The sequence below is a fragment of the Homo sapiens genome, chromosome 2, assembly GCF_000001405.40.
Source record: "Homo sapiens chromosome 2, GRCh38.p14 Primary Assembly".
Classification (NCBI taxonomy): domain Eukaryota; kingdom Metazoa; phylum Chordata; class Mammalia; order Primates; family Hominidae; genus Homo; species Homo sapiens.
Genome location: NC_000002.12, coordinates 205,762,790 through 205,776,137, shown reverse-complemented (window position 1 = coordinate 205,776,137; position 13,348 = coordinate 205,762,790). Strand labels below are relative to the sequence as shown.

Genomic DNA, 13,348 nt, shown 5'->3' with positions numbered 1-13,348 from the left:
AAGGGTCTGGGGGACTAAGGTGGTACTCAGTCCTTAGCACCTGCCAAGCACTTCTCAACGATTGCATTATTTCCTACTTACCCCCTTGGGAGGTAGCTATTGTCAGACCCATTTTACAGATGAGGAAACAGAGGTGGAGAGAGGTTAAGTTAAGTGGTTATACAGCTAGTTAAATAGTAAGTATGGGATTCAACCAAGAATGGTAGAATTACACATCTCTTCTCTTTCTGTTCAACCACAATCACTTTATAATATATGGAAGTGTTCTAATTCTTTCTCCCTCCATCTCCCTCTCTCTCTCACACACACACATACACATACACAAATACATACAAGTAAATGATGCTGACATGACTTCCGGGATTCAGTGAGGCAGATTTCCTGAGTGGTGGAAACACCATATTTGGTCTGGCTGGCCAGCATTCTCAGCAACAATGTATTAATTAAGCTGGCTAGACTTGAAGGTAAATTCCACTTTGGCTTGCCAAGGCTTCTGTGCCCATTGAAATTAGCCTGGTCTTGCCTAGACAGGTCAATCACCACTGTTAAGTCATGACTAATGCATCCTCATTTTTTAATTGGATGGAGGATTTTTAAAAGCAGATTGGAAGGGAAGTTGCAACAAAAAAAATGTGGGCACAAAATGACAGAGGGTATGTGAGAGCGAGAGTGAGTGAGTGAGAGAGAGAGGGAGGGAAATCATTCTTAATGACAGAAAAGACAGAGCAGGGAAGAGAAGCTGGCAGAGTATTTAGAAGGCAACCACGTTCACTGGCCGCTGCCGGTTGCTATGGAGATGATGTAGTAGATTTAAGCCCAGGGTAACTCTGGGGAAAGACTGGCTGGAGTCCCACTTGATGCAAAGCAGTGTTACAACTTGATTCTCCCAAAGATTTACATCAGATGAGAATCTGGCCCAGAAAGGGACTAGGAGCTTTTGAGCTTGCCAAAACCAGACATGATCTTTACTTCTGAAAAATGATATATGCTTCTCCTATGAAAAATGCCTCCCTAGCTGTTTGCATTAAGCCGGAAAGATGCATCCTCTCTACTCATGGGGTGCCCCAGCAGGGGAGCCATGGGTGGGAAGTGCTGCGGGCTCCTTCATGCATTAGTGGTCCTACCCTGTGAGCAGAGGGTGGTCCCCCTCTGCTCAAGATGCAAACGGGGCTCATTTCTATTTTCATGCCTCCTTACACTACCCACCCTAAGATTCAGAGCTCCTTAAGCAGAGGAACTCACTCTCATCATGAGGAACTTGCTCTCATCCATACCTAAGGGTTTATACAAAGAAGGCACTCAATAAATGCTTGGTGAATCAAACACTGAACTGAGGCTAAGACTCCTATTTCTGAGTCTGTGTTCTCTAATTCCTGCAGCCTGAACATCAGAACTCCTCTCTTTGATCTGGGGAATAGGTGGGAGGTGGGTCAGACCTTCTAATGTCTTCTCAGAAGTGATAGAAAAATGAGAACATTTTTCTTGGAAAATATTTCAAAGCCTGCTCAACTTCTTAGCTCTTAATCACTGCTTTCTCCTGCTGTATGAATCCCCTTCCGCTAGGGTGCAGGTTCATTGGCACCTCTTGGGTGACCAGAAGTCCCACAACATTGGCAGAGCTTTGACAAGGATGTGTTGCTCTGCACACACCTTGACAGCCACATCCACAACCCCTGGGGTAGAAATGACCCCAGAATCCCAGGATCCCCTGAATGTCCCTTTATACATCTTCCTCTTCTCCCACCTTATTGCCTGCCCTCTTTGTCTTTGTCCCCAAACTAATTCTGTCTTTTACTAGTTTCATTACCATAGCTGAGAAAGGCCTCTCTCTCTCTCATATTTGTGGCCATGGTGGAAATTATGCATAGAAAGAGAGGAAGAGAAAGCAAGGTGCTGGAAATGGCTCCTTGAAGTGGCCAGCTTGCAAGTCACAGTCAACTGGTGTCAATTCATTATTCAGGTCACCAAGAGGATCTGCTGCCTGGCAACCATCCTGCTGCTGGATTTTCGATATGAGCTTACAAAAATGCACAGGAAACATCAAAGTGTTAAGGGATGCCCCCAGAGTTCCTCAGAGACATCCCTTCTCTCCCCAAAGGGTGTCCTGGGGTTTGTCTCTGATTTTCATGTGGCTCCACAGTGAGGGCCATCCCCTAATGAGGCTGCAGCTCACCCATCAAGAAAAGGGAGGTGATAAATCCTCAGGGATTAGCTTTCCCTCTAAAGAAGTACCTGACCAGACCACAGAGGTGGGAGCAGAAATTTTTGTCAAGCAGAACATGGTCACAACTACCCACATTCCCTCCATCACTACATCATCTTTGTTCAAAAGTCTGCTTTCCTTCAGCCAAAATGCTGGTTTCCAACACAAAATACACAACCTATGGCTTAAAGTGCTCAGGCTGGAGAAGGATGAAGCCTTCATGTTTCTCTTACAGTGTTTCTTACGATAAGAGACAATGTTAGGGCACAATGGAGAGAATCAAGGGGACCTGCTGGAGGAAGGTGAAATCCTAGTACATGGATTACATATTTAGAATCAGAGACACAGACATAGTCTCTCAGAATCCTGCTCTACTTGAAAGACAAACTCCACTTTAAGTAAGACCCTCTTCTCCTTCTCTACTTATCCTTCTCTCCCCTGAAATTATCAACATGTAGAAAACTTCAGTGACAAAAGCTACTTGGGGGACATTATACTGGCTCCTTAAACATTTTCTTTGGGCATTTGTTTGGAGAAATGAGAAATAGTACTATGTGAATTCATGTTTTAATGTCAAGAGGTTAGAAATAACGTTAATGTTAGAAAAGAGAGGATATGACTAGCAAACCCTTCCTGATCCCCTACAAGCAACTCTTGGTTGACTTGCAGCTGGGGGCTAGAAGTTTCTCAGAACATTCACTAGCTAAAAAGACTCAACTCCAAAGGCAGGTGGAGTGTGCTGGTTTAGAATCTGGCCCTGTTCCAGCCTTGGAGAGCTGTATGCTAATGAGGCTGTGGTTTGCCAACTAGAGAAAAGGAAGACGATAAATCAATAGGGGTTAAATCCATACCCAAAGCACCTTCCCAGACAACATCAGCAATCCAATGAATGCCAGATGGATGGATGAATAGATAGGTGGATGGATAAATGGACGGATGGCATAGGGGAATATATTTGGACCAATGTTCAGACTCCCTGGAAAATGTTGATGACCTACTGGTACTTCCCTGGAGAGTTATTTTCAGAAAGTGCTAGAGATTTTGCTAGCTCATGTGGCACCTCTATGGGAAATTAGAAAAAGGTGCCCACTTTAGGCAGATGTCACCTGCACCAGATGCCCGAATTGCTGAGTTGTGCAATTTTAGCTTCACTTGCCCCTTCAGCCATCTGGGGGTGATCGAGCCATTGCTTGACAAAAAAGGAGCCTGGGCTAGGTGGGTGAAAGTGTAGGTGAGAATTCAACCTTGCCTGGAGTTGGTTGATCTGTTGACCTGAATTTTCCCTTTGATTGATCTAATTTCTACCGCTTACTCACATGTCTTTTTTCACCTGGAAAACACTTTCAATTCCTGAACTATTTTTCATTAATTCCCACCCCAGATTCTCTACAAAGTTTTCCCATTGTGTGAGATAATCAGAAACAGATACTTAAATAGTCAATAACTGAACTCCAAGTGCATTTGCAAGGTTGCACAGGCTCCCATCTGTAAAAATTCTGAGCCCCCTGGAGAAAAGCAATGCAAACACAAAGAATTTGAATTTTGAGAAACAATAAAGTTTGAGAAACCAGGCATGGGAGAAAATAAGAAAAACAGTTACACATGAGGTAGTGTTCCGGTCATTCCTATCTGCAAATAGGGTCACTATGCAATTGGGAAACGTGTCTGTAACAACGGCCACCCTGAGTGGACATTTCCTGTGTATTAACCATTGGTCTACGGGCTTCACATGAATCAATTTTGTTTATTCCTCATGACCCTCCAAAGGGAGACCTGAGTACTTGAGAGGACAAGTGATTTTCTCCTGGTTTCACTTGGAGGATAATTGTGGAGAAGGGCAGAGAAGCATTCAGTGAAACCCAAGAGATGGCCCAGGGTCCCCTGAGGAACTGTACACTGCTAGCAAGTGTCAGAGTCACGGCTAGAACCAGGTGGACAAAATCCCAGCCTGTGCTCTAACCCAGGGGTCAGCTCACTGTGGCCTATTGGCCAAATCCAGCCCACTGCCTGTTTGTGTAAATCAATTTTTGTTGGAACACAGACACCCTCATTTGTTTACATATTGCTTATGGATGCTTTTATGCCACAATGGCAGAGCTGAATACTTGCAACAGAGACTGTATGTCCTGTAAAACCCAAGATATTTACTATCTGGCCTTTACAGAACAAGTTTGCAGATTCCTTGCTCTAACCAAGTAGGGAGGGAAGAGGAAACAGTCCTCTTCCTTTCTGCCTCCTATTTCTGTCTGAACCTGTCTGAGGATTGGCGTGTCTCAGTCAAGTCAGTTTCTCACTGAATCTCTGAAATGAGAAAGCATATACTATAGCTGCTTTATGAAATATCATCTGGACCTGGGGGAGTCACCCAGGTTTCCAGAAGAAGTGTTTTGAAAGACACCAAGGGTAAGCCTTCTCTCTTTCTCTTTCAAAAAAGGCTCATTGCATGTCAGAATTGTTTTAGGACTGGCCTGTCTGCACAGTCCTTTCTGTACAGGTTAAAAATGAAGTGCTGGTGGAGGAACATTTCACATAAAGGTTTATTTAATTTGTGAGATTAAACAAACGAAAAAGGTTGGCTCCTCTAGAGAAGTTTACAGAAGATAGTAGAAGAATGTGGTCACGCCCTCTGATGTGTTTGGAAAAAAGACGCACAAGCACAAAGGCATCCCTGAGAAACGACTCTTTCCATCTGCCTTATGAGCATGGTGTGGCGGGAGGCGCCGGGATGTTTTCAGTAAGTTGGCAGAAACCATGTGGATTGCTCCCACATCTAGAGGCATTTTTAAATGCCTCCGAATTCAGATCTCTGACTGGCTGAAGTCTCGGACGCTTCACACTCTTTGGTGGCACTTATGCTACTTTCTGTAAACTGAGTCTTGTCCCTGTGTTCTTGGAGAGAAAAGTTGGTGAAAAACATTTTCTTCCACCCATAGATAAGCTGGCCTCGGCAGTTGTTTACATGAGTGGTAAACTGATGGAGAGGGGACGTGTCAGGCCTCTGTAGCAGGAGAGGTGGCATGCTCCAGCGAACCTCACAAAGAACACCTCTGTGTCCCCTGGGGAAGGATGGCCGCCAAGCAGTTACCCGCTTCACACATCTGATCTCCATGCTTTCTTGCTCAGCAACACCTAGCCTTAATCTGGCAGCTGGAGACATAAGGGGGTGGGGGCAAGGAGGAGGATTCACACACTACAGCTGCCTATCTGGAACCCCGGCAGGGGTTAGGAACACTTCTCTGCCTTTCATCAGACGGTTATGTGCAAAAGCACCATTTAACCCTCTCTGCATCTCAGAAGTGCTTCTAGGAGAAGGAGGCGTGGGAGGAAGGGAGTCCAGGGAGAAAGGGAATGTGAGGCCAGGCCCTGGGATGGGGGACCTTACCCTGGTGGACAAAGCCTTGGGAGGCAGGCAATAGAGGGTGAGGGTGGGAATGGGAAAGGAGAGAAGGGGGTGCAAAATGCAGAGATTGGCCAGTTGGCACCAAAGAAACAGAACTTAAAGCCTAAGGAATAGAGTCAAATGCCAGCCAGCATTACCCCCAAAATGGGCCTCTCTTAATACTGCTCCCCTCTATGCCCAAGAGACAGCTGTGGATGTGCACTTTCTCCTGGTTTTGTCTGGATGAGAACTGTGGAGAACTGCAGAAAGGCACCTAGGGAGACCCGAGAAATGGGGCCCCTGGACCTTAGGAATGGTCTGAGTCATAAACCCCACATTCCCAGCTGAAACGGGAGACATTGATGTTCCTTTTAGCATCCACTAGCGTAGGACAGTCATTCTGAATCCTTCCCTCTGACAACCACCTTCCACAGGTGCACCCAGCTGGGATTTCCGTGAGTCTCTAACAGGTAGGGCACCAGATCGTCTCTCTGCCCGTGCTCTGCTCAGAAACCACAGCCTCTAACACGAACAAAAACTCTTGCCTCCAAGGTGAGCTGCTAAAAATAACCACCTGGTCAACAAACCCCAGAACTCTGATTATGGGCTTCATATATTTTTACTGGCTTCTTTATTGTTCTTGTTTCCTTTATTGAAAAAAGAAAGTATTGGGTAAGAGGAAATAATCCATCACCTTAATTACACCACTTTTCGGTTCTTTTTCCCCCCTTTATACACACGGTTTTTCATTTGTTAAAGCTCAAATCCTAGAAAAAGATACATGACGGCACCATGTTTATAGCCACTGCTTTAAAAAAGAAAAGAAAAGAATGCACACCCAGGCTACATTGTTTAAAATGTGACTCATAACAACCACAAAAAAGGGTCTTTTTAAAAAATCACATGACAACACAGTTTATTCATTCTTTCTTCTCTTTCTCCCTTCTCAACACAGATCTCTTTTTCTTCCAGGCTTTTCTTCATTACTGACTCACATCCTGGCACACAATGTGTCTGTGTGTGTGTGTGTGTGTGTGTGTGTGTGTGTGTATGTATGTATATACACACACACAGCAGAAAACACAGGATGATTTAAATTTAAAATAATATTGCATGGCAAGAAATCAGTAAGAGGCGGAAAATGAAAGATACTTCCAAATATAAAAGATTGCGACCATCTAATAACTCCAGGTCCAAAGGCCACTTTTATTGTATTTCACTAAAGATTTACCTGTACAGTGATTGCTCCCAAAGAATGAGATTACCTTTGTTGCATGATTAATTTATAAGGGAAAAGAAAAACACTCTAATTTGAAAAATGTATAACAATGTAAATGCCTATGGTTGGCAGTGTTTCAACATCAACTTTCCATACCTTGCCTGCCCCCTGATTTCTCTGTTTCCATTTTTTGAGTGAAAAGGCTGATTTTATGCCCGGATCAAGAGAGGACTCCTGCTGTCCTGACCATAAGAGGAATAGTATATGAGTCACTAGGTTAGATGGAACACACAGTCCTCTCCTCTCTCAAACAGAAAAGTTTGCTCAAGGCAGAGTTGCATGCTGTGGTCAAACAGGTCTCAGCCAGAAAGAAGAGACCCATGGCACTAGGTTCATCTGGTTACCAACTCAGATCTCCATGTAAAACGTGCCAAGGTGAATGAAATTCTCCATTCCCAATTCAGATTCTGCTCTTTACTGTGTCCATTGGCCAAGTCTCTGCTCCCCAAGCCTTGGTTTCTTCTTCCCAAAGATGCTTGCCATCCTCCAGGACGAAAGCCATGGCCTAATCCATGCAACTTGTGCACTGCCTTTGCTTAGCCTCAAAGCGGCCCACCAGGAGCACCCTGGAAATTCTTACCTTCAAGTTACTAAGCCCTGTGTTTATTTTGGCTAAATGAGCACTGCTGCTCAGATGAGATTTTATGTATATATTTTTTACAAGAGAGCATGACTGGCCTGTGAAGCCTCATGGTAAGCACAGTTTCAAGGAGAGTGTACGTGCCCTGGTCTGCTTATTCTCTTACGGAAGTGAAGCACTTAGCACTTAGCCACTGTACTTGTCAGTCATGGCCCGACACGGTGTGCACACAGAACAGTGTCTGCAGCAGCTGCTGGCACGTCTTTACCCAGCCTTTCTGGGAGCTGTGAGTCTCCACAACCCAAAGAGAGTCAGGCGAAACAACATCCACAGCTTTCACTTCACCAACATAAGCATTACCTTGGGTCCTGAAGGTTAGAACTCGAATTCGACTGTAATCCAAAGTCGTTCAGTTTGGCTCTCAGCTTTCCTCCAATACTTTGGATTTACATTAACATAAACCTCACCCCCAGAGAGCACCAGTGTATGCACATGAATACTCTTAATACTTTTAGAACTGTGGTACAGGGAGTGGGCATGGGGTTCAGGGACACGAGGAAGGGTAAGAAAGGCAATATATTCTATGTCGGTCTGTCATTCCCCTGTCGTCTGCAGCTTTGTTCCTCACTGGCTGTCTTAGAGCTGATGAGTGGCAAATTGGGTGAGATGATTTGGAGTCAGGGAGCATATCTAGGTGGCAAACCAGGAATTCATCTCTTTCTAGCCCAGAGCTGGACAGATTAATGAGAGTGAAGATAACGAGTCTAGACGGCAGATATAAAAATGGCTGCCCTTATCTCTGCAATGCTGCCACTTGTAGGGGTAAGCCCAGCCAGTACAAAGAGGGCACAGCAATCCTCACAATTGCTGGCATCAAACAGGTCATGAAGAACCCCCATCATTTGGTGAGGGTGTTTTTGTGTGTGCTTTTACACTCAGGCCAACTGCAGTGACGCATTTAGAGTGGCTCCTAAATGTTTGGCATTAGAAACCGGTGTGGGAACTTCAGCAGTGTCCGCTAATAGGTTTGCAAAGAGGGCAAAATGTAAAATCTGCTGCATTGTAACAGCACAAACAACATTGCCATCACCCAAGGCTGGAGGCCTTTTTTTTTTTTTATAACCTGGATGAGGCAAGCATCCCCAATTCTTCTCACTTTGCTCTGCTCTCTCTGCTTTCTCGGGGGAGAACACGTCCTTTCTGATTTTCAGTCCTGCATTTAAAGTGCTCTAGCTCCAGTCATCGAATGCACCTCCTTATTCCCTTGACTGGACACCGGGTCCTAAATGTGGCAACTCTTTCTCCTGAGGCCACCACTTCTGTGTCTCTTTCCTAACTTCCTTCTCTTACAAGCAGCCTGCCACCGTACCTCACTGAGGTATGGTGACTGCAGGTACTGACTGCAGGCTGTACACAGAAGCCCCTCGGCTCTGTGGTTAACTGAAACCGCTGCCTTGGTACCCTGGAACTGGAAAGAAACCATCTTCAGGCTAAAATAAATCATTGCCACCTCATTTCACTTTTAATTTATACTGATTTTTTTTTTTTTTTGGTTCAGTCTTCCCACAGTCTCTCCTTTCTCACCACCCCTGCATTTTCAGCCTCATTGCTCCCCGTTGGACAATGCAAGGCTGAAAGGTTTATCTGTAACCTATTTGTCTCTATTAATAGGTTTCTAAACTTTAATTAAACAAGAGACAGTGAGGCTCTCAATCCCCTTCCCGCATCTACAGGTGTTGCTAGTGCCATCTAGCGGCAGGAAGGTGTGGCGTCTCTTTTCTCTTGCGAGATTTGACAAATTTGGAGGTTGATTCCCCCCATCAAATTCACATCACATGGGGGAAGGAAAAAGCATGCAAAAAAAAAATTTTTTTTTACCTTTAAAATTCTCACCTGCAAAAGCCGAGATGGGTTCTGAAAAAAACAAACAAAAAATTGGACTTAGTTAAAGGCAAGAAACAATTGGGTGAACATAGAGTGAATAATTGGATGAATATGATGATAAACATGACTGCACTCGGTTTTTTTGTACCACTCCATGGAGAGGGCCCCCCATCTTCCACATGTTCTAGGCTGGCTCTAACACATCATCATCATGGGGTGGTGATGGCGGAGGAGGGGGGATTCTCAAAGTTGCTTTGGAACAAAAAGTCCTTCATCAAGAAATGGGTCCCTAAAGTATTGTAATCAGTTACTTACTGCTGATTACTTTCTCAGAGCCTGGATTACTTTTAGATGCCTGGGGCCTGAGAGTTGCCCGGAGGGACTGGGGTGGTCCCAGGTGCTTCTGACATCATCAAGCACACACACACCAGGGGTCGTGTGCCAAGAAAGGCAGTTGGTGAGTTACTGCAGCCACTCTGCTGACTGAAAGCAACCCTCATGCCTTCTCAGGGTTCCTTTCTTGGTTTGGGAAATGTCCATGGCTCTGATGGGACACAGCCAGGGTGACCTCATCTGCAGCAGGAGACCCTGAAGAAAATGCGTGCCTCTCAGGTGGACTGGCTGTTCAGGTGCTTTTGACCAAGATGATGGTTATGATATCCTTCTCGTGCCAGTCACCTGGCCTGCAATGTTTAATCCTACAACAACTTTGGGATCTTGGGCATTAGAGGTATTCGTTTTAAAGAAAAATCTGAAATCTTACTTCAAATGCCACAGTTTGCTCTGCAATTCATTCATGTAAAATAACTACTCAGGTAATTGTGTTATCACTCTTACATAACATATGTACTATTTTTGCTCACCAGTGAAGGCTTCCATTAAATCCATCAAACCTTTCCAGCATATAATTTTGACTGGCAGTTGCTCTCGTCCTCTAGCATTTTCTTTGCTAAAAGCTGGGGTTTGCTGAGGGGGTCTTGGCACCCTGAACCTCTATGTACTTAGTGCATGTCTATTTCTGATTGGGAACAGGGATATAAGCCGTCCCCTTACCTCACACCCCTTCCCACCCTGAACCCAGCCTAAGACACAACTACACCCACACCTTACCTTGCAGAGACTGTGGCTGCCCCACCCACTGGGTAACGACTGCATTGGAAAATGGTGTCCTGCCTCCTCTTGCTTATCCCAGCCCTTGGGGTCTTATTTGAAAGAACCATGAAGAGACAGATATTCACATACCCATGCAGTTCTCCAGTGGGACATCAGTGCTTATCCGAATGTCATCAATGGCAATCTCTCCGGAACGTCCTTTCCCTATCACTCCCTCGAACACAATCTAGAAGCCGGAAGAATAAGAGCCATGGTTAACTGAGTCTCCTAGTCCAAACGGTGCAAGGATTTCCAAGTTTCTGTTAGCTGCAGCTTAAAGCGTGTGTGTGTATGTGTGTGTGTGTGTGTGTTATTGCACCTGGTACACATCTGTTGACCACATGGCTACAGCTCTTGAAATCTTAATTCAAAATGAGTTTGTTCAAATCAAACGCATATTTAAGGGGATAAGAAAATATAACAAGGGGGTGGATATTGTTGTCCAGTAACTAGAATGTATTGATTAAAAGGGCCATAATCAGAGACTATTGAAAGGGGGGTTGAAACTTCCCTCACTATTTTCGAGGTTCCTGTCTCATAAATCTTTCAAATGCCCAATCCAGGTATTTGAAAACTCAGAAGACACAAGTAGGTGGGGGTAATGTGAGAAATACAGCACATAGGTTTTGATTTGTGCTCCTTATTATAAGTTGCCTTAGGGCTTCATTATTACAACTAGGAGGAAAAGAATTTGTTTTTTCACCAGCCATTTACTGAGCACCTACTATGCCCTGGACATAAGGATAGTAACAAAACCTAGTAAGACAAGATCTCTGCCCAGAGAAGCTCACCCATCTAATGGCTGAGACACAAATGCAAACAGGTAGTTACAATACAACACACTCAGGTGAGTAAGTGGGAACCCAGATGGGGGTGGGGAAGGTCTCAGGATGCCTTGCAACCTCAAGGGACAGGGACTGCAGGCTGTACACAGAAGCCCCTCGGCTCTGTGGTCTTCAGTCATTTCTCATGCTCGCCCTCCCCAGGTTCCTCTCTGCAAACTAGCACATGTCCTCTGGCAAGCTGGGTGAGCAGTTGGCTGCTGCACCAGCCATCTGTTGCTGCTCCTCGTCTGGGGAGGAGAAGGTTAATGCTTTGGCTGGTTCTCAGTCACCTCTTCCACAGTGTGTCTACTCCTACCCAAGTTGCAACCACGGCTGAACATACCCATCTGTGCCTCAGTCTCCTGCTCTGTGGGGCAGAGATAACAGAACTCCATTCCGGGAGCTGGTGAGAGAGAGAGAGCACTCACTCTGGAGCCTCTCATGTCTGCCGGCCACTGAGCGCCAACAGCCCCCGCTCCCCTTCCTGTGTTCTTGCTGCCTGGGACAGGTCTGGGAGATTATCCTATTTCCTCCCCAGATCTGAAGGGGCTCCACAGGCCTCTTTCCTTGTGTGTGGAGGGTTTGTTTGTGTTTATTTCTCTGGCTTCTGTGTCCCTTTGTCAGCCTACCTGATAGCAATCTAAAATAAAATGGAGAGGAGAAACATTTGTTGGAGAAGATTTCAGCAATATAAAAGGCAACAGGAGGAACAAAGAACCAAGTCTGGGTGTAGAGATAGGCATATTCTGAATAACAAATAAGAGTGTCATTCAGTTGCCATGGCAACGTGAGAAACACAATGAAAACAGTAGCGCTTAACCACGTTCCCTAACGATGAATGGGCTCGGCCCTTGAAATATTGAAATACGGATCACAAGATTCCCTTTTTGCTCACCCCACCTGGTACTCCATGTCGTAGCTGGGCAGGATGATCCGCCCGTGCTTCCACTCGCCGCCCTGGTCCTCACGGATGACCCACAGCAACTTGCTCTCCTGGCTGGCTTCCCGCACCACCTGCAGCGCCACCCCGCGGCCGCCCGTGGCCTGGTACTGGAACTCCATGCACACCGGGCTTCGGGGCAGGTGGACAGGGGGGCTGATGAGCCGGGCATACTGGCCCTCTCTCTGGCTGTCACTCTGCAGCCGCAAGAAATTCCTGTCATCTGGCAGAAACAAACCCAAACAGAGGTTCTCCATAAACACTCGGGAAAGACACCAGTGTGCTGCTGTGGCCTCTCCAAGGGAAAGTTGGGACTGAGTTTCGGTGTCTTTGGTTTATTCATGTCCTTGTTCTCCAGGCTCTGTGACCCTTTCTTAAGGCTCCTTCAGAGCCTTGATTCAAATGCTGTGTTTTCTTAAGAGTCTCTAAGTCAAATCGGTCCCTCCTGCCTATTTCTCGGTATCATTTCCTTTCCATCTCTTTCACATGGAGCACCCGGCACAGCTGCCTTATGTCTTGGCTGGTTGTGTGCGTGCCCTTCTTCTCCCTCTAGATTCTGAGAGGCCAGACCCACATCTTATTCATCATTAACTCACCCAAAGGGCCAGTGCAATCTGATGAACTGAATTACAAGGGGACAGATTATAGGGGGTGGGGGGCTGCTAGATTGGAGGGTGACTATGACCAGGTGGTTGATGCTTCCAGCCCTGGCCATCTTGGCTGGGCACTGTCCAAATGGCTGACATTTAAAACCTTCTGTCTCCATCAGTGCTCCTAGATGATGCTTGGGCTCTAGTGACTGTGACTCAGAAGCCCAGTGTCACCTTCAAACAGAACAGAGGGTGGGAGCTGAAAGGGATGATTCAGGGAGGCTTGAACTTGGCCTTTCTGAGACAGCCAGGCACATATGGCTCCAGTGATAAAGGTGCTGTCATTATCATTAACAAAGGCTGTGTGTTTAGCAGAGAATATATGTGTTCTGGGAAATTAAGGGTTTACCAATCCAAATGTTTGGAGAATGGCCTTTTTGGCTGATTAGTTTCAAATTCATCAGACACTCATGTGGAAGACCGAGTTCTTGTTGCTGTTGGCAGACTACGTGCCTTG

General features: G+C 45.8%; 1 protein-coding gene across 15 annotated transcripts in view; it reads right to left on the bottom strand.

The window, feature by feature from the left end:
• Window positions 1–13,348, bottom strand: part of NRP2 (neuropilin 2) — a 115,631-nt gene that overhangs the window by 21,994 nt on the left and 80,289 nt on the right. For 7 of the 15 annotated variants that reach the window (NM_003872.3, NM_201279.2, XM_047446172.1 and 4 more), the window contains 3 exons: window positions 12,202–12,464; window positions 10,568–10,664; window positions 9,335–9,355 (listed from right to left, as the gene is read on the bottom strand). In NM_003872.3, the coding sequence (NP_003863.2) occupies window positions 9,335–9,355; window positions 10,568–10,664; window positions 12,202–12,464 (381 nt within the window). Of the gene's footprint in view, window positions 1–2,591; window positions 2,596–9,319; window positions 9,356–10,567; window positions 10,665–12,201; window positions 12,465–13,348 lie in introns of all 15 variants that reach the window. The other 8 variants (NM_201266.2, XM_047446170.1, XM_047446171.1 and 5 more) reach the window with 4 other exon arrangements.